Source organism: Homo sapiens, chromosome 2, assembly GCF_000001405.40.
Source record: "Homo sapiens chromosome 2, GRCh38.p14 Primary Assembly".
In the NCBI taxonomy this organism is placed as follows: Eukaryota; Metazoa; Chordata; class Mammalia; order Primates; family Hominidae; genus Homo; species Homo sapiens.
In genome coordinates, this window is record NC_000002.12 from 229,928,196 (window position 1) to 229,954,720 (window position 26,525).

The 26,525-nt window shown below is 45.6% G+C and overlaps 1 protein-coding gene and 1 pseudogene across 2 annotated transcripts in view, besides 2 other annotated features; one reads left to right on the top strand and one right to left on the bottom strand.

The window, feature by feature from the left end:
• FBXO36 (F-box protein 36) overlaps positions 1 to 26,525 on the top strand; it is a 90,617-nt gene that overhangs the window by 5,693 nt on the left and 58,399 nt on the right. Inside the window, exon 1 of one of the 2 annotated variants that reach the window (XM_005246317.3) lies at positions 10,080 to 11,073. The exons of the other annotated variant lie outside the window; for it this stretch is intronic. Within the exon in view, the coding sequence (XP_005246374.1) occupies positions 11,053 to 11,073 (21 nt within the window). The 5' untranslated portion in view covers positions 10,080 to 11,052. Of the gene's footprint in view, positions 1 to 10,079; positions 11,074 to 26,525 lie in introns of those variants that run through there. 2 annotated transcript variants of the gene reach the window in all.
• On the bottom strand, positions 9,619 to 9,687 carry RNU6-964P (RNA, U6 small nuclear 964, pseudogene; annotated as a pseudogene).
• Positions 15,631 to 16,131: an enhancer, noted in NCBI's record as "H3K27ac hESC enhancer chr2:230808542-230809042 (GRCh37/hg19 assembly coordinates)". NCBI's record gives its function as "activates a minimal SCP1, AML or CMV promoter by ChIP-STARR-seq in primed H9 embryonic stem cells {active_cell/tissue: H9 hESC(primed)}" and the evidence as "EXISTENCE:reporter gene assay evidence [ECO:0000049][PMID:30033119]".
• Positions 24,768 to 25,632: an enhancer, noted in NCBI's record as "H3K27ac hESC enhancer chr2:230817679-230818543 (GRCh37/hg19 assembly coordinates)". NCBI's record gives its function as "activates a minimal SCP1, AML or CMV promoter by ChIP-STARR-seq in primed H9 embryonic stem cells {active_cell/tissue: H9 hESC(primed)}" and the evidence as "EXISTENCE:reporter gene assay evidence [ECO:0000049][PMID:30033119]".

Consider the following 26,525-nt stretch of genomic DNA (forward strand, 5'->3'; position numbering starts at 1 on the left):
GAATACTATCCAACTTTTCAAAAACAATGCGGTGGATCTCTGTTTACTCAGTAGACCAAATAAAATCTTTAGCAAGAAAAGCAAGTTGCTGGATTAAACATAGCATATCCTACTTTTTTAAAAAAGTGTTTTAAATAAATGTTAGTGAGGTTTTAAATAATTCTTAAAAGAAAAAGCTGGAATGATGCACTCTTAAGAGTTACAGATTTTTACTCTCCGCATTCATATTTCTGGAAGATCTGAATTTTCTACCATGAGCATTTATTTTTATAATCAGAGAAAAGCAATAAAGATTTAAAATGAAAGTGTAAATGGATAACTGTTACTTTGAGGTGGTGTCCTGCCTGTATTCCCCCTATTGGGCCAGCACCACCTTTCACCCACCTCCCTCATTGAATATTGAGGCTGAATATTGAATATTGAATATTGAATAGCTTTGATAGCTGTGTCCCAAACTCCTGCTGTTTTTGTGGAAGGAAAATAATTCTAATTCTACAGTTTTAGAGTGCAAATTGATTAATGATTAATTTTGCAATTTTCCTTGCAAAATTTTAAGGAGGATTTTTGGTGTTTTTGTTTGTTTTAGAGGCAGAATCTCATTCTGTCCCCCAGGCTGGTGTGTAGTGGTGCAGTCAGCTCACTGCAGCCTCAAACTCCTGGGCTCAAGCAATCCTTGCGCCTCTGTGTCCCAAAGTGCTGGGATTACAAGCATGAATTTCTGTACCCATCCTTAAGGAGGATTTAGTGTCTAGAAACTTCTGACCTTTTTTTCTTTTCATTTTTTTTTTTTCTTTTCTGAGACAGAGTCTTGCTCTGTCACCCAGGCTGGAGTGCAGTGGCATGATCTTGGCTCACTGCCTCCCAAGTAGCTGGGACTAAAGGCATGTACCACCCCGCCCGGCTAATTTTTGTATTTTTATTAGAGATGGGGTTTCACCATGTTTGCCAGACTGGTCTCAAACTCCTGACCTCAAGTAATCCGCCCGCCTCAACCTCCCAAAGTGCTGGGATTACAGGCGTGAGCCACTGCACCCGGCCTCTTTTTCTTTTTAATATAAGTAATAATTACCTTTGAGAAACTAAAGGAGCTGGGTATGGTAGCTCACACCTGTAATCCCAGAACTTTGGGAGCCTGAGGCAGGCAGATCACAAGGTCAGGAGATCAAGACCATCCCGGCCAACATGGTGAAACCCCGTCTCTACTAAAAAAAAATAGAAAAATTAGCCAGGCGTGGGAGCGGGCGCCTATAGTCCCAGCTACTGGGGAGGCTGAGGCAGGAGAATGGCTTGAACCTGGGAGGCGAAGCTTGCAGTGAGCTGAGATCAGGACACTGCACTCCAGCCTGGGCAACAGAGCAAGACTCTGTTTCAAAAAAAAAAGAAAAAGAAAGACACAGCCAGGCGCGGTGGCTCATGCCTGTAATCCCAGCACTTTGAGAGGATGAAGCAGATGGATCACGAGGTCAGGAGTTCAAGACCAGCCTGGCCAACATTCTACTAAAAATACAAAAAAATTAGCTGGGAATGGTGGCGCACGCCTGTAGTCCCAGCTACTCGGGAGGCTGAGGCAGGAGAATTGCTTGAACCCAGGAGGTGGAGGTTGCAGTGAGCAGAGATCACGCCACTGCCCTCCAGCTTGTGCAACAGAGTAAGACTTTGTCTCAAAAAAAGAAAGAATATTTTGCAGACTTCTAAGCTATCATGCCCATTCTGCCCACTGACCACCGTCCACAGCCAAAATGTTTCCACACAGAAAGAACTACTGCTGCTCCTTTTAAATTCCAAAAGTCAGTATCATACTTGTGCTTATGTATTTCCACAGCCTGGTCATCATAGCGAGATCTCATCTCTACAAAAAAATCTAAAAATTATCCAGGCGTGGTGGCTCACACAGGTAATCCTAGCACGTTGGGAGACCTAGGCAGAAAGATCACTCGAGGCCAGGAATTCAAGACCAACCTGGCCAACATAGCAAGACCCCTTCTCTATTTTTAAAAATAATTAGCTGTGCATGGTGACATGAGCCTGTAGTCCCAGCTACGCAGGAGGCTGAGGCGGGAGGATCACTTGAACCTAGGTGTTTGAGGCTGCAGTGAGCCATGATCGTGCCAGTGCACTCCACTGAACAGAATGAGACCCTGTATCTTACAGAAAAATAATTACTTTCCTCATCTCTGTTGTTTGTGTTGATTTACACTCCTCTTTTCAGCTGTCTTTTTGTTTTTCTTTCACAGTCCCTTATTCTTCCCTCTTCCCTTAAGAGAGATGCTTTAGGCTGGGCACGGTGACTCACGCCTGTAATCCCAGCACTTTGAGAGGTCAAGGTGGGCAGATCACCTGAGGTCGGGAGGTCGAGACCAGCCTAGCCAACGTGGTGAAACCCCGTCTTTACTAAAAATACAAAAATTATCTGGGTGTGGTGGTGGGCGCCTGTAATCCCAGCTACTCAGGAGGCTGAGGCAGGAGAATTGCTTGAACTTGGGAGGCAACAGTTGCAGTGAACCACGATTGCGCCACTGCACTCAAGCCTGGGCGACAGTGAGATGCCGTCTCAAAACAAAAACAAAAGAGAGATGCTTTACCCCTTCGCCACTGCACCTGAGAACCTCAGCCCAGCTCAGCTGTGCTGGAGCCCTCCTCGAGGTGTGCTGTGGTTTTCCCTCCTGCTGTCATTTACCCCCTCACTGCTCCTCCTGATGGCAGCAAGTGCGCAAACATTCCCTTCCCTGCCCTACAGGTTAGGCCAGGTGTTTATAATAATAAACTGCATTATTCTTCTGTTCCTCATGTTTGACACACTTCAGAAAAATGATTCCCAAACATTGTGTCTTGTGACACTCCAGGATCTGCCCAATTTAAGTTGTGAAATCCCTTTTAGTCAGAAATTTTTAATTTCTTTTAATTTTTTTAAGTGGCATATGGCACTTTTCTGAGGAGAGGGATGGCATGATCCAAGTAAGGTGATTAAACTCTTAAAAATAACAGTATTCACTGTTTAGTTAGTCTAGTCAAGTGGCTCCTAAATCCTCATTTCAAAATCACATGACAGCTGGACATAGTTCCAGTATCACCTTTTCCCAGGTAAATTGTTCACTTGGTACCTGTGAGTGCCTGCTCAATCTGGGCAGTTAATTTGGTCTCACCCTACAGTGACACAGATTTGCTTCATAATTATATGGGGCAGTAGAGCACTTAATTGGAAGTCACTGAGTCACGGATCCTTTCATTCCTCCTGCAGTCTGCAAGCTCTTGACCTGGGGCAAGGCACTTAATTTGTCTGAGCCCTATTTGCCTCATCAGCATAAGAAGGTTACTAGTCTAAGAGATCACTAAGCTTTATCCCAACTCTAAAATGATGTTTCACGACCGGCATGTTGGCTCACACCTGTAATCCCAGCATTTTAGGAGGCCAAGGCAGGCGGATCAAGAGATCAGGGGTTCGAGACCAGCCTGGCCAGCATGGTGAAACCCCGTCTCTACTAAAAATACAAAAATGAGCTGGGTGTGGTAGTGCATGCCTGTAATCCCAGCTACTCTGGAGGCTGAGGCAGCAGAATCGCTTGAACCTGGGAGGTGGAAGTTGCAGTGAGCCAAGATCGTGCCATTGCACTCTGGCCTGGGCGACAGAGTGAGACTTCAGTCTCAAAAAAATAAAATATAATGCTGTTTCACATGAAAGTAGTCTTTTGTTTTCTTTTGGTTTTTTGCTTGTATATGTGTATATATTTTTTTTTTTTTTTAGACAGGGTCTTGATCTGTCACCTAAGCTGGAGTGCAGTGGTGCAATCATAGCTCACTGCAGCCTCCAACTCCCATGCTCAAGCAATCCACCCACTTTAGCCCCCTGAAAATAGCAGAGACTACAGGCCCGTTCCACCATGCCCAGCTAAGAAAGTAGTGTTTTAGGCTGGGCGCAGTAGTCACACCTGTAATCCCAGCACTTCAGGAGGACGAGGTGGGCGGATCACAAAGTCAGGAGTTCGAGACCAGCCTGACCAACATGGTGAAACCCCGTCTCCACTAAAAATACAAAAATTAGCCAGGGCCCGGCACGGTGGCTTACGCCTGTTATCCCAGCACTTTAGGAGGCTGACGCGGATGGATCACCTAAGGTCAGGAGTTCGAGACCAGCCTGACCAACATGGAGAAACCCAGTCTCTACTAAAAGTACAAAATTAGCCTGGTGTAGTGGTGGGTGCCTGTAATCCCAGCTACTCAGAGGGCTGAGGCAGGAGAATCACTTGAACCCGGGAGTTGGAGGTTGCAGTGAGCCAAGGTCACGCCATTGCACTCCAGCCTAGGCAAGAAGAGTGAAACTTTGTCTCAAAAAAAAAATTAGCTGGATATGGTGGCGCACTTGTAATCCCAGCTACTCAGGAGGCTGAAGCAGGAGAATCGCTTGAACCTGAGAGATGGAGGTTGCAGTGAGCCGAGATCGCACTACTGCACTCCAGCCTGGGCAACACAGCAAGGCTCCGTCTCAAAAAAAAAAGAAAGAAAAGAAAAGAAAGTGGTGTTTTATACTGGAAAAAGCACTGGAGTTTTGTTTTTTTCTTTTCTTTTCTTTTCTTACAGAAAAATTGAGTTTGCATAGCCGGGCGCAGTGGCTTACGCCTGTAATCCCAGCACTTTGGGAGGCCGAGCCAGGTGGATCACGACGTCTGGAGTTGGAGACCAGCCTGACAAACATGGTGAAACCCCATCTCTAATAAAAACTAAAAATTAGCCGGGCGTGGTGATGCACGCCTGTAATCCCAGCTACTCAGGAGGCTGAGGTAGAAGAATCGCTTGAAACCAAGAGTCGGAGGTTGCAGTGAGCTGAGATTGCGCCATTGCGCTCCAGCCTGGGTGGGCAACAGAGCGAGATTCCGTCTCAAAAAAAGAAAAAAATTGAGTTTGCATCGAAGATTGTATATTAGAGGCTGGGCACGGTGGCTCACACCTGTAATCCATTTGGGAGGACGAGGCGGGTGGATCACCTGAGGTCAGGAGTTCGAGAGCAGCCTTGCCAACATGGTGAAACCTCTACTAAAAATACAAAAATTAGCCAGGCGTGGCGGTAGAGTCCTATAATTCTAGCTACTCGGGAGACTGAGGCAGGAGAATCACTCGAACCCAGGTGGTGGGGCAGAGGTTGCAGTGAGCTGACATCATACCACTTCACTCCAGCCTGAACAAAAGAGCAAAAAAAGAGCAAAACTCTCTCATATACACACACACACAAAGATTGTGCGTTAGTAGCTGTGTGACCTGGCGTAACCTGCCTGATGTTCCATTCTGTTCTTCTGTAAAGTTAAGTTGTGGCTACTTCACAAATATAGTGAGAACCAGATGTATGTAACAAGCACTCCAGGCCAGTATTTCTCAAAGAGAAGCATCATGAGCCGGGTGCAGGGGTGCGAGCCTATAGTCCCAGCTATTGAGAAGGCTGAGGCAGAAAGCTTGAGCTCAAGAGTTGAGTACAGCCTATGGAAAATACTGAGACCCCCTCTATGTTGTTATTTTTTTGAGATGGAGTCTTGCTCTGTCGCCCAGGCTGGAGTGCAATAGCACCATCTCAGCTCACTGCAACCCACACTTCCCGGGTTCAAACAATTCTCCTGCCTCAGCCTCCCTAGTAGCTGGGATTACAGGCGCGCACCACCATACCCAGCTAATTGTTGTATTTTTAGTAAAGATGGGATTTTGCCATGTTGGCCAGGCTGGTCTCGAACTCCTGAACTCAGGTGATCTGCCCGCTTTGGCCTCCCAAAGTGCTGGGATTACAGGCGTGAGTCACCGTGCCCAGCCCCCCTTTAAAAAAAAATACACAAACATTAAAAAAAGTTTTGTGATTAGAAAAGATTGGAAAATTCTAAGTAAAACAAAATTATATTTCCTTCTTTTCTCTGAAATTTCTCAGAGCCTTTCAAATCCTATTGTGCAGCCGGGTGCGGTGGCTCACGCCTGTAATCCCAGCACTTTGGGAGGCTGAGGCGAGTGGATCACAAGGTCAGGCGATCGAGACCATCCTGGCTAACACGGTGAAACCCCGTCTCTACTAAAAATACAAAAAATTAGCTGGGCATGGTGGCAGGAGCCTGTAGTCCCAGCTACTCGGGAGGCTGAGGCAGGAGAATGGCATGAACCCGGGAGGCGGAGCTTGCAGTGAGCCGAGATCGCACCACTGCACTCCAGCCTGGGCGACAGAGCGAGACTCTGTCTCAAAATATAAATAAATAAATAAAATAAAATCCTATTTTGCATCATGAATCTCCAAGAGACTACTGCAGAGTGGAGCTTTTCCTACGACCACAGCACCCTCTTTTCCCTGAGCATCTTTAGGGGCTGTGACTGGAATGCTGTTTGGAAAACCAGTCAGCAGTCTGCCTGGTACACAGCAGAAAATGCTGAAGAAATGTTAAATACTGGCACCAAATCAGTCAGACTTTACCTTTTCTATGACTGTTTCATTTTCCTTATTTATTTTTACTTTTATTTTTGAGACAGAGCTGTGTTGCCCAGACTGGAGTGCAATGGCGTGATCTTGGCTCGCTGCAACCTCTGCCTCCTGAGTTCAAATGATTCTCGTGCCTCAGTCTCCCAAGTAGCTGGGATTACAGGCACTTGCAACCATGCCCGGCTAATTTTCATGTTTTTCGTAGAGATGGGGTTTCGCCACGTTGGCCAGGCTGGTCTTGAACTCCTGACCACAGCCTCTCAAAGTGCTGGGATTGTAGACATGAGCCACTGCGCTCAGCCTTTCCTTTGGTTTTACAAATAAATGTGCTGCTGAGTTTCTGCAACCATTTTATTCTAACCTCCTCTTTAGAAATATTTTAAACTAATAATCCAAAAGAAAATACCTGCACCCTCAAATGTGTTATATGCCACAGTTTAACGTCTTAACTTGTGCCTCCACAATCTGGATGAACATGTTTTGATGCACGCCACAGAGGAAAGCATCTGTCATCACTGAATATGGTAGAATTTCTTACAAATGTTTTATTGTTTGGGAAAGCTCAGCTCTGACCAACCCCCTGGATTTGTGCCTATACAAAGCAGGTATAATTGGAGCAGAGAGTAAGCCTGAAAATCATAAGAGTCTCAGATGCACCAGCTCAGCACAAAATCTTGGAACATTGACAGTTCACAAAAACACACCACCGTGTGATAACAATATCAAACATTAGCCAGATGTGGTGGTGCATGCCTGTAATCCCAGCTACTTGGGAGGTTGAGGCAGGAGAATCTCTTGAACCTGGGAGGTGGAGGTTGCAGCGAGCCAAGATCGCACCATCACACTCCAGCCTGGGCAACAAGAGCAAAACTCCGTCTCAAATAAGTAAATAAATAAAAATAATAATAATAATATCGAGCTAGGGAGAGTATTAACACATAGTAATTTTCAATGCTTTTTTTCTGAATTTGGTATTTGATAAGGAGATAAGAATTTGGCAGATATTGTTAACGATTCAACTCTGAAACAGAAGTCTTCCTGTCCTTACATTAGTGGATCTTTTGGATCCTTGGAATTGAAGGGTATCCTAAAATCAGCAGCAAGAATCATTTTTTAAAAAATGGACTTCAGCTCATTCCGTTACCAAATGTTCAAGTATCTTCTGTGTATCAAGTGCTACCATGTGCTGTGCCAAGCACTGAGGAGCAAAAGTATGTAGTCTGCCCTCATGGAGCTTACAGCCTAGTGGGAGATAGAGATACTGATCAGAAGGCCAGGTGCGGTGGCTCACCCCTGTAATCCCAGGACTTTGGGAGGCCAAGGCGGGTGGATTATTTGAGGTTATGAGTTCAAGATCAGCGTGGCCAACATGGCAAAACCCCGTCTCTACTAAAAATACAAAAATTAGCTGGGTGTGGTGGTGGACGCTTGTAATCCCAGCTACTTGGGAGGCTGAGGCAGAATGCTTGAACCGGGAGGCAGAGGTTGCAGTGAACCGAGGTCACGCACCATTGCACTCCAGCCTGGGCAACAAGAGTGAAACTCCGTCTCAAAAAACAAACAAACAAACAAAAAACTAACTCATCCCCTCTCTTCCATTCTCACAGCACCTTCCTGTCTCTCCCCATCATGCTTCTATATTGCTGTGGCCAGAGTCACAGTTCTATCCTACAACTTCAATCATTTTATTCTCCTGTGCAAAAATCCTTGGCTAATGAATCCCTATTACCTAGACCAGCAGTTTCCAAACTTTTTAAAACAGAACACTTTTATGAAGAAAAATTCTTTACAGATTTTATCTGTATCTGTTTACAAATATCTATGTAAATTTATGCTTATCTATTAAAAGGGGCATTTTATAAAGATAGATTGTTTTATAAGTTCAGATTAATAATATTTACTTATGAAGTTAATGAGAACAAAGGAACTACTGTGATAAAAAGAAAACTTCAAGCTGGGCACGGTGGCTCACACTTGTAATCCCAACACTTTGTGAGCCTGAGGCAGGAGAATCACTTGAGCCCAGGAGTTCGAGACTAACCTGGGCAACAAAGAGAGACCTTGTCTCTACAAAAAAAAATTTAAAATGAGCCAAGCGTGGTGGCATGCAACTGTGGTCCCAGCTATCTGGAAGGCTGAGGCAAAAGGACGACTTCAGCCCAGAAGGATGAGGCTACAGCGAGTCGTGATTGTGCCACTGCACTCCAGCCTGGGTGACAGATCAAGACCTTGTCTCAAAAATAAAAAAGATTTGAGATGAAAACATTAGTGTTACTCAGCATCAATACTAAATTTCTGCATTTTATTATAAAATTAAGCCTGATCCATGTAGCTGATCATAAATCTATTCTCCATATTACATCTAACATGAACTTCTAAAATTGCAAATGTAATCACCAAACCTCACCACCTCTAAAACGCCCCTGACTATAGGTCATATCATTATTTTATATATAGCCCAGAAAGAAAACAATGCTAATTAAACTTCGATTTCAGCGATTTTGTAAGAAAAAAAGTGTCCCACAATCGTTGGAATATAGTGCGGCAACCACCTCACCTCCTTAAAAACCAATAATTGGGCTGGGCGCGGTGGCTCACGCTTGTAATCCCAGCACTTTAGGAGGCTGAGGCGGGCAGATCACTTGAGGTCAGGAGTTTGAGACCAGCCTGGCCAGCATGATGAAACCCCATCTCTACTAAGAATACAAAAATTAGCCGAGTGTGGTGGCAGGCACCTGTAATCCCAGCTACTCGGGAGGCTGAGGCAGGAGAATCACTTGAACCCAGGAGGCGGAGGTTGCAGTGAGCAGAGATTGTACCATTGCACTTCAGCCTAGGTGACAAGAGCAAAACTCCGTTTCAAAAAAATAATAATAATTTAAAAAATAATAAAAACCAATAACTTTTCATCTTCTCAGTATCAGGACAAAGCTCCTACCGTATTCTACAAAGCCAGCATAGCCTGGCCTCTGCCTCGCCACCCTGGCTCTCCCTGCTTCAGCAGTGTTGGCTTTTTTTCCACTCACCCAATCTTCCTGATCTCAAGTCAAGCTTCACATCCTCTGAGGAGCCTTTCCTGACCTTCTTACCAAGGCCACACCCTGCATAACACACTGTAGAACACATGGGTTTCTCTCTCTTTTTTTTTAAGCAGACTCAGAAGGGAAAGGGTGTCTCTTCTTGCTCAGGGGCCATGCTAATCTCTGTATCGTTTCAATTTTTAGTATATGTGCTGGTGAAGCGAGCACAGGTCTCTCTTCTTGATAGCACTTACCATGGTGGACATCTTAGTTTTGCTTATATGTTTATCTGATCAGTATCTTTTGGTTTGTTTGTTTGTTTGTTTGTTTTTTAGACAGTCTCACGCTGTCGCCCCAGGGTGGAGTGCAGTGGAGCGATCTTGGCTTGCTGCAACCTCTGCCTCCTGGGTTCATGTGATTCTCCTGCCTCAGCCTCCCGCATAGCTGAGATTACAGGCACCTGCTATCATGCCCGGCTAATTTTTTGTATTTTTTGTAGAGATGGGGTTGTAGAGATGGCGTGAGCCACCGCGCCCAACCGGATTGGTTAGATACAACTTTCTTTTTTTTTTTTTTTTTTTTTTGAGGAGGAGTTTCGCTCTTGTCGCCCAGGCTGGAGTGCAATGGCGCCATCTCGGCTCACCGCACCCTCCGCCTCCTGGGTTCAGGCGATTCTCCTGCCTCAGCCTCCCGAGTAGCTGGGACTACAGGCACCCGCCATCATGCCCGGCTAATTTTTGTATTTTTTGTATAGGTGGGGTTGTAGAGATGGCGTTGTAGAGATGGCGTGAGCCACCGCGCCAGACCGGATTGGTTAGATACAACTTTCTTTTTTTTTTTTTTTCTTGAAGTGGAGTTTCGCTCTTGTCGCCCAGGCTGGTATGCAATGGCGCCATCTCGGCTCACCGCAACCTCCGCCTCCTGGGTTCAAGCGATTCTCCTGCCTCAGCCTCCCGAGTAGCTGGGATTACAGGCACCCGCCATCATTCCCCACCATCATGCCGGGCTAATTTTTGTATTTTTTGTATAGATGGGGTTGTAGAGATGGCTCAAGCCACCGCGCCCGGCCGGATGCATTAGTTTTCTTACCCCCAAAAAACCTTTTTTTTTTTTTTTTCCCCCGAGGCAGAGTTTCGCTCTTTTCGCCCAGGCTGGAGTGCAGTGGCGCCATCTCGGCTCACCGCAACCTCTGCCTCCTGGGTTCAAGCGATTCTCCTGCCTCAGCCTCCCGAGTAGCTGGGATTACAGGCACCCGCCATCATGCCCCGCCACCATGCCCGGCTAATTTTTGTATTTTTTGTAGAGATGGGGTTGTGGAGATGGCTCGAGCCACCGCGCCCAGCCGGATGGGTTAGTTTTCTTACCCCAAAAAACAGATACACCTTTTTTTTGGTTTGTTTTTTGTTTTTTTTTTTTTTTGAGGAGTTTCGCTCTTGTTGCCCAGGCTGGAGTGCAATGGCGCCATCTTGGCTCACCGCAACCTCCGGTTCCCGGGTTCAAGCGATTCTCCTGCTTCAGCCTCCCAAGTATCTGGGATTACAGGCATGAGCCACCGCGCCCGGCCCAACAGATACAACTTTCTACCTCGTAATAATGTTTCAAGGATTATATGAGGTAAGATATACAATTTTTTTGCACATTTTCTTGCCCTATTTTACATTTTTATCGTGGTAAGGTCCTCTCGTCCCAAGATGAGTCTTCCTCCTGTCTAAAACTGTATTAAAGTATCTCTTCAGCATTTTTTGAAAAGAACAACCTGGCCAGCACGGTGAAACCCCATTTCTACTAAAAATACAAAAAAAAAAAATTAGCCGGACATGGTGGTGTGCACCTGTAATCCCAGCTATTCGGGAGGCTGAGGCAGGAGAATCGCTTGAGCCCGGGAAGTGGAAGTTGGAGTGAGCTGAGATGGCGCCACTGCACTCCAGCCTGGGTGACAGAGCGCGATTCTGCCTCAAAAAAAGAGAGAGAAATAGATTGGCATTTGGCTGGAAAAGTCGTTTCCACATTAATACCCTTTAAAGCCTCTGCTCCCCTATTACTTACTGTCTTCCACACGTTGGTTCCCCAAGGCTCCCTCTTCTGAAGATGGCGGCCACCTTAGCCTTTACAGCAGCTCCTCGAGACCCTATAGGAGCTAAGAACCGCCGGGCGCCGTGGCTCACGCCTGTAATCCCAGCACTTTGAGAGGCCAGGGTGGGCGGATCACCCGAGGTCGGGAGTTTGAGACCAGCCTGATCAACATGGTGAAACCACGTCTCTACAAAAACATACAAAAATTAGCCAGGCGTGGTGGCGCAGGCCCGTAGTCCCAGCTACTTGGAGGAGAGGTGGGAGGATTGCTTAAGCCCGGGAGTCCAGGGTACAGTGTACCGGGACTGCGCCACTGCATTGCAGCCTGCTCCGCTGGAGTGAGACCCTGTCTCAAAAAAATATAAAAAAAAAAAGGCTAAGAAGCCATTGGCAACATTTTTAATGCTTTTACATTCTGCCTACTGTGTCAAACTAATTGTTCCCAATTAGTGGAGCTTGTTTAAGCTGTGACTAAAGGATGTTTTTATATAAGTGAAATAATTATTCCTAAATATGACTTTTAAACACGGATTTTGTTTAACCTTGTTTCTTTTTTGGAGGGTGGTTGGTAACACCAAGACTACTTTATTGAAAGCGTAACTAAGAGCGATTGATGGATACGTAAAGACATAGTAGGCACATCCATGTAATAGTACCGCGGTGAGGAGCATTCAGGAGTGATTCTGCCGTAATGCTTAGGTGTGTATCTGATTTATGGAAGATAGGCTGTAGGCTGTATAACCCGTGTACATATATGTTAGGGGCCGAATTATGTCTCCCCCCAAAAAGATAGTTGGAAGTCCTAACGCTGAGTACCACAGACTGTGACCTTATTTAGAAACAAGGTCATTGCAGATGAAATTAGTTAAAATGAGATCCTGCTAAAGTAGCATGGGCCCCTTATCCAATACTACTGGTGTCCTTATGTGAAGACAGACACACAGAAAGCCATGTGATGATGAAGGCAGAGATTGGAGGGATGCAGCAAAAATTGCCAAAGATTTTCAGCAAACTAGCAGAAGCTAAGAAGAGACTTCTTCCCCTTCAGAAGGAAGGAGCATGGCCTTAGTAACACCGCGATTTTGGACTTCTATCCCCAGAATCGTGAGAAATAAATTCGTGTTGTTTTAAGCCACCCCATTTGTGGTCCTTTGTTATGACAGTCCTGAGTGTGTAAAGCTATTTGTGGCCCACCTACTTGATTCGCCTAAATATGTTAGTGGGAAAATAGAGTTGCCTGGGTGTGTTGCTCGTTTCACACCTGTCCAAGCCTCCACCTGAGATAAATCACCATCTGTTTGGCACAATCCCCCTGGCCTACTGCTTGCCACTGGACCAAAGATAGACACCTGACTCTAGCGCAGTGAATCTACCGACTGACCAGCAGCCATAGGACTTGGGTGGCCTGGTGTGGAAAGAGGAGCCCCTTCTTGAAAATGGGGACGAAGCCGGGCACGGTGGCTCACGCCTGTAATTCCAGCACTTTGGGAGGCCGAGGCAGGCAGATCACGAGGTCAGGAGATCGAGACCATCCTGGCTAACACGGTGAAACCCCGTGTCTACTAAAAATACAAAAAATTAGCTGGGTGTGGTGGCACACGCCTGTAGTCCCAGGTACTCGGGAGGCTGAGGCAGGAGAATTGCTTGAACCCAGGAGGCAGAAGCTGCAGTGAGCCAAGATAGTGCCACTGCACTCCAGCCTGGGCAACAGAGCGAGACTCCGTCTCAAAAAAAACAACAACAAAAAAGAAAATGGGGACTAAGACACAGAAGAATATAGCTGTGGGGAGTAGCTTCAGGGAACTGAAATAGGTCCAGAGGAAGCTCGAAGTGGCCATTCTGAAGTTTATGCAAACTGCTGGCCAGGAGAGGCGAAAAAAAAAAAAATAGAGAAGGGACATGACAGTGGGGAAGGGGAGATAGGAGGGGATTTGTTACTCTCACTCGAGGCTGCAAGTTGCCTCTCCACAATTAATCTCACCTTTTAGTAGAGAACCCAAATTTTCAGGCCTGGCGCGGTAGCTCACACCTGCAATCCCAGCACTTTGGGAGGCCGAGGCAGGTGGATCACTTGAGGTCATGAGCTCAAGACCAGCTTGGCCAACATGGCGAAACCCTGTCTCTACTAAAATACAAAAATTGGCCGGGTGTGGTGGCGCATGCCTATAATCCCAGCTACTCAGGAGGCCAAGGCAGGAGAATTGCTTGAACCCAGGAGGCGGAGGTTGCAGTCAGCTGAGATTATGCCACTGCACTCCAGCCTGGGTGACAGAGCAAGGCTCAGTCTAAAAAGAAAAAAAAAAAATTTAGATGGGCTTAATGCTTCCCAGTAAGACTGCGTGTCCTAACCTCCCTGGCAGCTAAGTGTGACCTTGAAGCTAAGTATTAACTAAGGACTTTTAGGAGGTTTCTTTAAAGGGAGGTGGAATAGGGCTGGGCCTCTTTGTCTGGCTACTTAGAAATAAAATCAAGGGTGAGAGGTAAAATGGGTAATAGGAGGCAGCGTCCTTCCCCCACGCACCACAACCCTGTGCTGGAGCTCCCAAGAGCACATGGCATAGCAGTGCATTCTGCCATTCCGCTGTGTACCACCCTCTGTCCTGTCTTCCCTTTCCCTTTCTCTTCAGTTCTTCATTCTGTTTCCTTTTATTTCTTTTCCTTCTTGTGTGTCTTTACCTACCCTGCATAAAAATGCTGGTTAGGACCTTTGGGTTCCTCATTCTGGTTACCTGTTGGAGTGAGTCTGTATCCTGAGAAATTCATGGAGATCACCATGATTAGAAGTCATGGCTGCTGAGCCAAGCATCATAGACTTGAGGCCTAGCAGCTTCCAGGGGCTCCAGGACCATCAGGTGGGAAGGCCCTGGGGGGGTCCAGGACAGCTCCAGCCTAGCTCCACAGGGGCAGAAGTGTACCAGTGCCTACTTGCTGCTCCACCACAGGCTAGGCCACTTGTCTCCCACCACGTCTCTGGGTTTACGCGTCCCTCGACTTTTGCTGCCCATACCAAAGGCTCAGTTCTGAGCCTCAAGTTCCATTTCCTCTCACGAGAGGATGTGACGCTCTCATTCAGCCACTCTGCCCTGTTTGGGAGCTTTTTCCCACAGTCAAGCCGGTCTATTGCCCATCCTTGGATCATGTGGTAGGAGCTGATGTTTTTACCACCCGCCTCTGTCCATCTTCTTGTGGTTACAGTGCCCTGGTTTTCCACAGGAAAGCCATGCCTCCCTCACCCTTATTTTGTATGGTCCAAATAGTCTCATATGGATCCACCATCCTCAGTGTCTAGTAATGCAGAGATGGGTCCACTCCCCAATCCAAGCCAATGAGATGCTTAAGAAAGGCGCACTTCCTTTATCCCTGAACTTGGTTGTAGTGATGTTAACCAGGGTCCAGCAGTCATGCTGTCAGCACCAGAGACAACCTACCTACAGATGCAGCCAATGTGGAGGGACAGGAGCCAATAGGTGAAAGAGAGGTGGGGCCTCTGTGGCACTGTTTGAGCCTCCACAGCCAGCTAGGCATTACCGCTAGGTAAGTCAATAGGCCTCTTTTCTTTGCTCAAATCAGGTTAAGAGGGTTTTCCATCACCTGTAACTGAAAATGTCCTAACTGGTCCAGGTCAGGTGGCCACCCTGGTCCAATCAGCAGTGGCTGGAGTAGCAGGCCAGATGTCACTTGCAGAACAAAGTGTGCTCAAGTCAGCCCTTGAAATGGGGCTGTGGGACGGGCAGTGTGAAGCTGAGTCTTTCCACTATAAATAAGGCTGTGCAAGGCCAAGTTAATAGATGTTTGGAGTTCATAAATCATGGTGGCTGTGGTTATCAAATTAAAAAAAAAAAATCAAACCAAAACCACCAGTAGCCTCAAAAAGCACATGATTGGAAATGTGAGAGGCTGTCAGGAGCCCTGGCCCGTGGGCAACCTTGCTGGAAGTGCTGTGACCATGTGTGTGTTTGAACCTGGACAAACCACTGATGTAGACATCTCCCCAGATCCATTCCTCAAAACTCCCTGAAGTGATTAGATATTGAATCCCATGCCTAAGACAGAGTAGCAGTGTCTGTTTGCTGAATGAGATTCTTCCCCCAAATATGGTTTGGATTTGTGTCCTTGCCCCCATCTCAGTTCAAATTGTAATCCCAGTGTTGGAGGAGGGGCTTGGTGGGAGGTGATTAGATCATGGGGGCGGACTTCCCTCTTGCTGTTGTTGTGATAGTGAGTGAGTTCTCATGAGATCTGGTTGTTTAAAAGTGTGCAGCACCTCCCCCTTCTCTCTGTCTTCCTCCTCTGGCCACGTAAGACGGGGCCAGCTTCCCCTTCACCTTCCATCATGATTGTTAAGTTTCCAGAGGCCTCCCCAGCCATGCTTCCTGTACAGCCTGTGGAACTGTGAATCAGTTAAAGCCTCTTTTCTTTATAAATTACCCAGGTTCAGGTAGTTCTTTATAGCAATGCAAGAACAGGCTAATACACCACCCTTCTCAAAGACTGCCACTTCTATATTCTGTATTTTAGGAGTCAGCACTATTTGAGGAATTGAAATGAAACCTAAGGTAAAATAAAGCTAGCAAACAAAGGAGAGATTTGTGTAGACAGCCTAGACAAGTTTACATTCCGCATTAAACACTTGGATTTATTTAACAGTTTCATTTATGACTTTACAGTTGTTTAATAAATATTACGGCATTCCAGCTAGGAAGATAGTATCACCCCTTTAAACATGAGAAAATCAAATGAATGGCTTAAGGCAAAAAATTCTTTTATTAGTACCCAAAAGTGTAGACTTTGTTATTACTTTAAATTTAGAAAAGTAAATTTTCAATAGTTAGTGGCTAGCAAAACTGGTATTTTTTTTCTTTTTCTTTTTTTTTTTTTTTTTTGAGACGGAGTCACGCTCTGTCGCCCAGGCTGGAGTGTGGTGGCGCCATCTTGGCTCACTGCAAGCTCCGCCTCCTGGGTTCATACCATTCTCCTGCTTCAGCCTCCCGAGTAGCTGGGACTACAGGCGCCCACCACCACGCCCGGCTAATTTTTTTGTATTTTTAGTAGAGACGGGGTTTCACCATGTTAGCCAGGATGGTCTCAATCTCCTGACCTCGTGATCCACCCACCTCGGACTCCCAAAGTGCTGGGATTACAGGCGTGAGCCACCACACCCAGCCCCAAAACTGATATTTTTGTGTGAACTAATAAATAATTTAGTTAGGTTTATTTAGAAAATAAACTTTAAGGATTTAGGGATTTGCAAACTTCAGTTTGAAATAGGTTTAGACAGCTAAAGATCTTTGGATTTTGTAAAGAGAAAATTAATTGAAGAAAGAATTTAAGGTAAATATGATTTATGACTATTCTGTTTTAGATGTGAAGCGGTAAACAATATTGGGCCACAGATTGGGAGTAGAGTGGGGGAAGGAAGACAGGAAGACAGCAGTGAGGTAAAGGAGAGTTTGTAAGTCATTCATAACCAACACTACCCATTTAGCATGATAGTTATGAATATACCAAGGCCTTTTAGACCACTCTGAAATGCACATTGACCCTCTCTTTTAAATCATGAATTTCTGTTTTTTTGTTTGTTTGTTTGTTCTTTGTTTTAGCTGGAATCTGCCTCTGTCACCCAGGCTGGAGTGCAGTGGCGCAATCTCGGCTCACTGCAACCTCCACCTCCCAGGTTCAAGCAGTTCTCCTGCCTTTGCCTCCCGAGTAGCTGGGAGTACAGGTGCCCGCCACCACGCCTGGCTAATTTTTGTATTTTTGATAGAGACGCATTTCACCATGTTGGCCAGGCTGGTCTCAAACTCCCGACCTCAGGTGATCCACCCGCCTTGGCTTCCCACAGTGCTGGGATTACAGGCATGACCCACCACACCTGACCTAAATCATGAATTTCTCCCTTAATTTGTGCAAAATTTAGTGTACCTGGATTTCCTTCTGTGTTCTTCTCTATCCTTAAGATTTTTCAGTTCAGAAATATTCTTGTTTGGGATAGATATTAAAAGATGAAACTGGAAGCCAGGCGCGGTGGCTCATGCCTGTAATCCCAGCACTTTGGGAGGCTGAGGCAGGCGGATCATCTGAGTTCAGGAGTTTGAGACCAGCCTGGCCAACATGGGGAAACCCTGTCTCTACGAAAAATACAAAATTAGCCAGGCATGTTGGCGCATGCCTGTAATCCCAGCTACTTTGGAGGCTGAGGCAGGAGAGTCCCTTGAACCCGGGAGGCGGAGGTTGCAATGAGCTGAGATTACGCCATTGTACTCCAGCCTGGGTAACGAGAGCGAAACTCCATCTAAAAAAAAAAAAAAAGACAAAACTGGTAATTGGGAGGATGAAAAGGAAGTAAAACAGGAGTAAGAACTTTGCATTGCGGCCCCAGGGGGTTGTGGTGGAGGGAAGGAAGCGGAAGCAGGTACCTGAGACCATAGGACTGTACTTCCATGGGACATGTATGATCCAGGTGGATACAAGCCAGGTCTTGATGCACTGCTGTGTTTAAGGTGTGCTGTGAGCTAAGCCTCTGCAGCATAGTTTATGCTCGTCCTACCCCCTTGTAAAAATTATCTTTTCAACTCGCCCATTGTCACCTCTATCCTTCATTCAGCCTTTGCTTATGCTACTCCTCCACTTGGAACACGCTTTCCCCAATCTTTGCCTAGTCATTCATCCTGTTAGATCTGCCTGCATCTCTGCCAAGAATCCCCTTAACTTGGCCTTTTTCAGGAGTGAGTTTGAGGAGAAAGCTTAGGAAATAATAAGCCAAATTTTTGTGTCTTAAACATCCAGTTAACTCTGGATAGTGACAGCCAACAACATGGAGTCATAAAAGCAAAGGTAAAAACTTGAATAAGCAACAAGACATTGAAGAAAATATCTCGACATGATCAGCAACAGGCAACATCAGTTTCTTAGCATCTCTTAAAGACTGATAGAGGAGAGACAATTTCTTTTCTAGCAAACAAGAGATGGTGAATGGAAATTAGCCTCTTCTAATGTAAGCTGTGTAGACTAAACACTGTAAGAGCCTAATGTTCAGCGTGCACATGGTCATGAATCCAGCTTTTAGTACAATGCCAAGCACAGTGTGAACTCAGTACATATTTGTTGCATTAATAAATATTAGTCCTATTTGCTGTTGGATTAAAAGCAAGTATAGAAGTCAGGCGCTGTGGCTCATGCCTATAATCCTAGCACTTTGGGAGGCTGAGGCTAGTGGATCACCTAAGGTCAGGAGTTCCAGACCAGCCTGGCCAACATGGTGAAATCCCGTCTCTACTAAAAATACAAAAAATTAGCTGGGCATGGTGGCAGGTGCCTGTAATCTCAGCTACTTGGGAGGCTGAGGCAGGAGAATCACTTGAACCCGGGAGGCGGAGGTTGCAGTGAGCCGAGATCACACCATTGCACTCCAGCCTGGACAACAAGAGCGAAACTCTGTCTCAAAAGTAAATAAATAACAATAAGAAGCAAGTATAGAATACAAAAATGGCACAAAGCAAGGAAGTAAGGCAGGAAGGGTTTTATGTAGGTTGTGACTATATGATATGAATCTCAAAAGTTATATTTTACAGAGTAAAGAAGTAGGGAGCTGGAATAATTCTAGGCAGGAGGGATTCATTTTAGCAGTCAGTGAATTGTGATACTATAGTTGGGAAGTACAGTGATGTGCTGAAATGTAGGGCATAGTCAGTGGCTAGTATGAGATGATGCTGAAGGAGAGATGGACAGGGGTCACTCCTTGGCCTTCTATGCCACCCCAAGGATTTGGGCCATGGGGAAGAAAAAGGGATCACATCGACACCAGCATCTTAGTAAGCAGCCTTTGGCTGCTGTGTAGAAGATTGCTTGGATCAGTTTAAGCCCATGGAGGCAGAGAGCTTTCTTATTAGATTTTGTCATGATCCTCTAAAGTACCACGGAGTTGAATGTCAAGTTATATTAAGGAAGTGAAATCAATAGAATTTAGTCATGGAGTTGATATTTTGTGATGATAGAGGCTAAGAAAGTCTAGAATGACTCAACTAGTGCCACCAAAATAAGGAATACAGGAAGTGGACTAGGTAGGTTTCAAAGGGAAGATGATGAGATCAGTTTTTTATAGCTGAGTATAAACTGCCCCTGTGGATTACAGGTGGGTGTGCACAGTAAGCAGCTGCATAATTTAGTAGGATTCAACATCAAGAGTGAAGATACAGATTTTGACTCTGCAGCACTGAAAACCATTTGGATTAGATTACCTAGACAGAGGAGGGATGTCACTAAGGACAGAGCTTCAACATTTAGAAGTCAGGCTGGGTGTGGTGGCTCACGCCATTAATCCCAGCACTTTGGGAGGCCAAGACAGAAGGTTCATTGAGACCAGGAGTTCAAGAGCCGCCTAAGTAACATAACAAGACCCTTTCTCTACAAAAAAAAAAAAAATTATGTTTTTAAAAATAAACATTTAAGAAGTTAAGGCAGAGGAACACTTGTGTCCCCACATTTACATGTTCTTTTTACTTTTGGGGAGAAATGTACATCATTGATATTGGTGTTCTAATCTACACAAGTTATTTGAGGTTGGGTTAAATATTTTTCATTGTAAGTAACGAATTGCTTTTAGAGCAGGAACAGTCTGAAAAAACAGTGTTGGTAAAGGCATGGGAAAAGGCCTCCTCTGTGTGATGTCCCAAGGAGTGTAAATTAGTACATTCTTCCTGTGGCAGAAACCATTAGTTGCCCCCAATATCCATTTTCTCTTTTCCTTAGTAAACAATTATCTGACTTTTAGCCGAACACTTGGGCTTTAGAGAAAAAAAAAAAAAAAAAAAGACTTCATTTCTCATCCTCCCTTGCAGCTACAGTTAGCCACATGACTAAATTCTGGCCAAGGGAATGGCAGTGGAAGGGGTGACTGTGACTACACAGAAGAGTCTGTGAGAGTTGGACCCTTTTCATCTCTTCCTCCTTCCTACTGTCTAGAATGCAGATTCTGTGGCTAGGACTTCAGCAGCTATCTGGTACCACGCAAAAGCAGCCAAATTCTGAAAGTGACGGAAAACCCAAATGGAAAGGGGCCTGGTTCCCTGGGTTATGGACTGCCTACTGCCTCTTTATTTTATTTTATTTTATTTTTTATTTTTTTGAGACGAAGTCTCATTCTGTTGCCCAGGCTGGAGCGCAGTGGCATGATCTCAGCTCACTGCAGCCTTCGCCTCCCGAGTTCAACTGATTATCCTGCCTCAGCCTCCCTAGTAGCTGGGACTACAGGCGCCGGCCACCACACCCGGCTAATTTTTGTATTTTTTAGTGGAGACGGGGTTTCACCATATTGGCCAGGCTGGTCTTAAACTCCTGACCTCGTGATCCGCCCGCCTTGGCCTCCTAAAGTGCTGGGATTACAGGCATGAGCCACTGCGCCCAGCCTCAGGATGCCTCTTTTTTTTACATAAATGCCTGTCTGTATAAGCCACCCTTTTGGATGTTGTCTCATTCAACTGGACCTAGTTCTGTCTGATGTGCTTCCCAAAGACAGCTTAGCAATGTTTTGTCAAGTGTAACGTGTGCACGTCCTTTATTCTGGCATCCCACCTCAGGGAATTTACCCTAAGGAAATAATTACACAAATAGGGAGTGGAGAAGAGTAAAATAAAAGTCCTTCAAAGAAAATTGGTTAAGTAAATTAAAATTATGTAAAAAGGAACACTGTGAAGCCACTAAAAATAATGATGCTATATTTAGACATCACATGAATAGATGTCTGTGACACTAAAGTATAAGAAGAGATTATAGACAAGCATGTTTAGAATTATCCCATTCATGTAAAATGTATACACACACACACACACACACACACACAGATTAATCTGTGTAAGTATATAGATGCTGAGAAATACTTGGTAGATGTCTATAAGTATAAAAATATTCCAATATTCTTTGCCAGGCATGGTGGCTCACACCTGTAATCCCAGCACTTTGGGAGGCCAAGGCGGGCGGATCACGAGGTCAGGAGATTGAGACCATCCTGGCTGACACGGTGAAACCCTGACTCTACTAAAAATACCAAAAATTAGCCGGGCGTGGTGGCGGGCGCCTGTAGTCCCAGCTACTCGGGAGGCTGAGGCAGGAGAATGGCGTGAACCTGGGAGGCGGAGCTTGCAGTGAGCCGAGATCGTGCCAGGGCACTCCAGCCTGGGTGACAGAGCGAGACTCCGTCTCAAAACAAAAACAAAAACAAAAACTTGTCTCTGGAAAATGAGACACATTAGATGGCAGCCAACTGGAAGAAATTTTACATTAACTTGTCTCAGGAAAAATTAATCATAGCATGTAGCTTCAGTGCCTCCAGCAGCCACCCTGAGCTCTAGGACAGGGGACACTGGCCCAGGGGAGCTGACAAGAGCAGTGAGACCAGGAGCTTGCTTTAAAATCACAGCCCAGGCTGGGCGCAGTGGCTCATGCCTGTAATCCCAGCACTTTGGGAGCCTGAGGTGGGTGGATCACGAGGTCAGGGGTTCGAGACCAGCCTGGCCAGCATGGTGAAACCCCATCTCTACTAAAAATACAAAAATTAGCTGGGCATGGTGGCACGTGCCTGTAATCCCAGCTACTCAGGAAGCTGAGGCAGGAGAATCGCTTGAACCCAGGAGGCAGAGGTTGCAGTGAGCCGAGATCACTCCACGGCACTCCAGACTGGGCAACAGAGCAAGACTCCATCTCAAAAATAAATAAATAAATAAAATCACAGCCCAAAGGGAAAAGAGAGAGCTGAGTGCAGGATAGTGAGGGAGGAATGTGAGGTATGGAGGTAAAGTAAGTTCTGTCTAAGGTCAGAAATGTCAAAAGACAACATTACAACAAATTTTATCATAGATCTAATTAGCTATTATTCGCAATTCATGAGTCAGGTCAGCCTCCTTTCCACAGAACGGAATGAGAGCTCCCACTGAGCAATGGCCGAACAGTGGGTTTTGTAGGATGGAAAACAAGGAAACAGAACAATAGGGAAAAAAATCATATTGGTTAACACAGGTTACTTCAGGCTACTTTTTTTTTTTTTTTTTTTTTTGAGACAGAGTCTCGTTCAGCCGCCCAGGCTGGAGTGCAGTGGGGTGATCTTGGCTCACTGCAACCACTGTCTTCTGGGTTCAAGTGATTCTCCTGTCTCAGCCTCCCAAGTATCTGGGATTACAGGCATGCGCCATTATGCCCCACTAATTATTTTATTTTATTTTATTTTATTTTTGAGACGGAGTCTCGCACTGTTGCCCACACTGGAGTGCAGTGTTGTGATCTTGGCTCGCTGCAACCTCCGCCTCCTGGGTTCAAGCGATTCTCCTGCCTCAGCCTCCCGAGTAGCTGAGACTACAGGTGTGTGCCACCACACCCGGCTAATTTTTTGTATTTTTAGTAGAGACAGGGTTTCACCTTGTTAGCTAGGATGGTCTCGATATCCTGACCTCGTTATCCACCCACCTCAGCCTCCCAAAGTGCTAGGATTACAGGCGTGAGCCACCGCGCCCGTCCCAGGCAACTTTTTTTTCTTCTTTTTTTTTAGACGGAGTTTCGCTTTTGTTGCCCAGGCTGGATTTCAGTGGCGTGATCTCGGCTCACTACAACCTCCGCCTCCTGGGTTCAAGTGATTCTCCTGTCTCAGCCTCCCAAGTAGCTGGGATTACAGGCACGTGCCACCATGCCTGGCTAAGTTTTGTATTTTTAGTAGAGATGGGGTTTCATCGTGTTGGTCAGGCTGGTCTTGAACTCCTCATCTCAGGTGATCTGCCTGCCTTGACCTCCCAAAGAGCTGGGATTACAGGCGTGAGCCGCCGCGCCCAGCCCAGGCTACTTTTTTGTAAAGCATTAAAGCAGAAAGGACTTCCTTATGATGCTTACTCAGGTAGACTGGAATCTCCTGATTTCAGGGAAAATCGATCTGCTTTGGGATCTATCTTCTCCCTTAAAGTTTCAGTTGGATGATGGGGCATTTAGAAGAAGTGATTCCATTTTAGTTGGTCTGCTCTCTTGGGGCCTAGTGCAGGAGCACAGGCCAAAACAATGGTCTCCCATAATTTTGTTTAACTGAAGTCAGCAAGTGGAAACAAGGAAAGATCTAGATTATATGACTTGTCAAGTGATTGCAAGTGATTTTGCTCAATTCCAATTTAGCTTAAACACAAAGGACCCTGGAATGCTTTGGCCATTTGAGCCTGAGAATGAAACCTCATAAATATTGACACGAAAGCTCTCGCCAAGTTTTGCACTGTGGTCATGGCTATAACTTGGTGAAAAAAAAATTTTGCATGAAATGTTTTATTTAAACTTTTTTTCAAGAAAATGTTTTTTTCTCCCTAACAGAACATTTCATAAGTTATTTTAATTACTGTATCTAATTTTTTTTAGGCATTGCTTTATTTTAAATTGTATGTTTGAAAATTTATAACTATCATAACCAGACTGCAGGCCAAACAACTTCAGGTTTGGTGGAGAAGGACATTCCCTTGAATTTTCTCCTCTTCTTTTCCCTCTAGTTTCTGCTTTTCTCCCTTAAATCCTCTTCATTCCTTGCCTTAGGGGAGTTTCCCAAGACAACACCTTGAGATGCAAGAGTTTAGGAGTTTTAAATTTCAAAAGCCCAAACATTGGGTAGAGGCTTAAAGTTTAAGACACAGATAATAGAATGGTTAGAATATGCAGAGTCCATCTCTGTATTCTCTAATCAAGCAAACATCTCAGATTGCAAGAGGGAGAAGATATTCTCAGAGAATGAGGTTAGATACTGCTGTTTCCCATGAGGCATCCTCAGCTTTCAATCAAGTTGGGGAGTGAAAGTCAGTAAACCAGTGGCTGAGCAAACCTCCGCCCCGACCTTTCTCACAGGGCCACAGATGAATGGGAGAGCCAGCCGAGAAATCTAAAGTGCCTCGCATCCCCAGCAGTTTGCTAAAGGAGGTAGTGGCTGGACAGGTTAAGACACCCTCCCAGCCCCCCAGCCTCCTGCAGTACTCAGGGAACCATTAGGCACCTTATTCTGCAGCCACCAGTGGGGCAGTGTTGCCAAGAGGGTACCAGGAGGAGAATCCTGCAGCCTTGAGCTGTGCAACTGATAACGAACTACAGATGGGATGGACGCCATCTTACCTGATGCTGGCCAGTAGATCATGACATGGAGAACTCCCCGCTATTCCTGAGAAACTTGGACTTTGACTCAACAGAGAGGTGAGGGAGGTGCCAACGTGACCAATATTTGGTTTTAGGAAACATTTTCTCGGGTTGGGATGGAGAGAGATGTTTTTCCCTGTTTACTGTGTTCATTTTGCCATGTGCATGTATTGCCTATTTGAAAAGAAAACGGCCGGGTGCGGTGGCTCACGCCTGTAATCCCAGCACTTCGGGAGGCTGAGGCGAGTGAATCACCTGAGGTCTGGAGTTCGAGACCAGCCTGGCCAACACGGCAAAACCCAACCTCTACTAAAAACACAAAAAATTAGCTGGACGTGGTGGTAGGCGCCTGTAATCCCAGCTACTTGGAAGGCTGAAGCAGGAGAATTGCTTGAACCCGGGAGGCGGAGGTTGCAGTGAGCGGAGATTGCGCCATTGCACTCCAGCCTGGGCGACAGAGTGAGACTCTCAAAAAATTAAAAAAAGAAAAGAAAAATAAAATAATATTCAGTTAGAAAAAAAAATTTCTTGGCAGGTGTGGTGGCTCTTGCCTGTAATCTCAGAACCTTGGGAGGCCAAGGTGGGAAGATCGCTTGAGCTCAGGAGTTTGAGACCAGCCTGGGCAATATGGCAAAACCTCATCTCTACCAAAAATTAAAAAAAAAAAATTGGCCAAGCATAGTGGTACATGCCTGTAGTCCCAGCTACTCAGAGGCTGAGTTGGGAGGATCACTTGAGCCCTGGCTGCAGTAAGCTGAGATCATGCCACTGCACTCCAGCCTGGATGACAGAATGATATCTTGTCTCAGAGAAAAAAAAAATAAAAAAAGATTTTTTTTTTCAAGAGGGGAAGGAGAGAGGAGGGAAAAGGAGAACAAGAAAAATTTATTTCTTGCACATCTTTGTTAGTGAAATGAGAATCCTGTACTACCTTAGTATAACAGTAAAAATTTAAAGTATTGAAAGCCATTGATTCATCTTTTACAAGTCAACGTAATTATTTCTTTTTTTTTAAATTTTAAAGACAGAGTCCATTCTGTTGCTTAGGTTGGAGTGCAGTGGCGTGATCACAGCCCACTGCAGCCTTGAACTCCCACCTCAAGGGATACATATGCCTCAGCCTTCCAAGTAGCTGGGACTATAGGCATGTGCCATCACGCCAGCTAATTTATTTATTTTTGTAGAGACGGGGTCTTGCTTTACTGCCCAGGCTGCTTTCGAACTCCTGGCATCAAGCTCTTTTTCCACATTGGCCTCTCAAAGTACTGGGGTTATAGGTGTGAGCTACCACACTCAACCTTATTTAATTGATAACTTTGTTGACTCAATAGGTAAATGAATGATGCAACTGTCATTACAAACCCTTTGGATTTTTTTTTTTTTTTTTTTTTTTTTTGAGACAGAGTCTCACTCTGCTTCCCAGGCTGGAATGCAATGGCCCAATCTCAGCTCACTGCAACCTCCGCCCCCTGGGTTCAAGCAATTCTCCTGCCTCAGCCTCCCTAGTAACTGGGATTACAGGCATGCGCCACCACACCCTGCTAATTTTTTTATTTTTAGTAAAGATGGAGTTTTGCCCTGTTGGCTAGGCTGTTCTCAAACTCCTGACCTCAAGTGATCTGCCCGCTTCGGCCTCCCAAAGTGCTGGGATTACAGGCATGAGCCACTGCACCCGGCCTTTTTTTTTTTTTTTTTTTTTTGAGACGGGAGTCTCGCTCTGTCACCCAGGCTGGAGTGCAGTGGCGCGATCTCAGCTCACTGCAAGCTCCCCCTCCCAGGTTCACGCCATTCTCCTGCCTCAGCCTCCCAAGTAGCTGGGACTACAGGCACCCGCCATCACGCCTGGCTAATTTTTT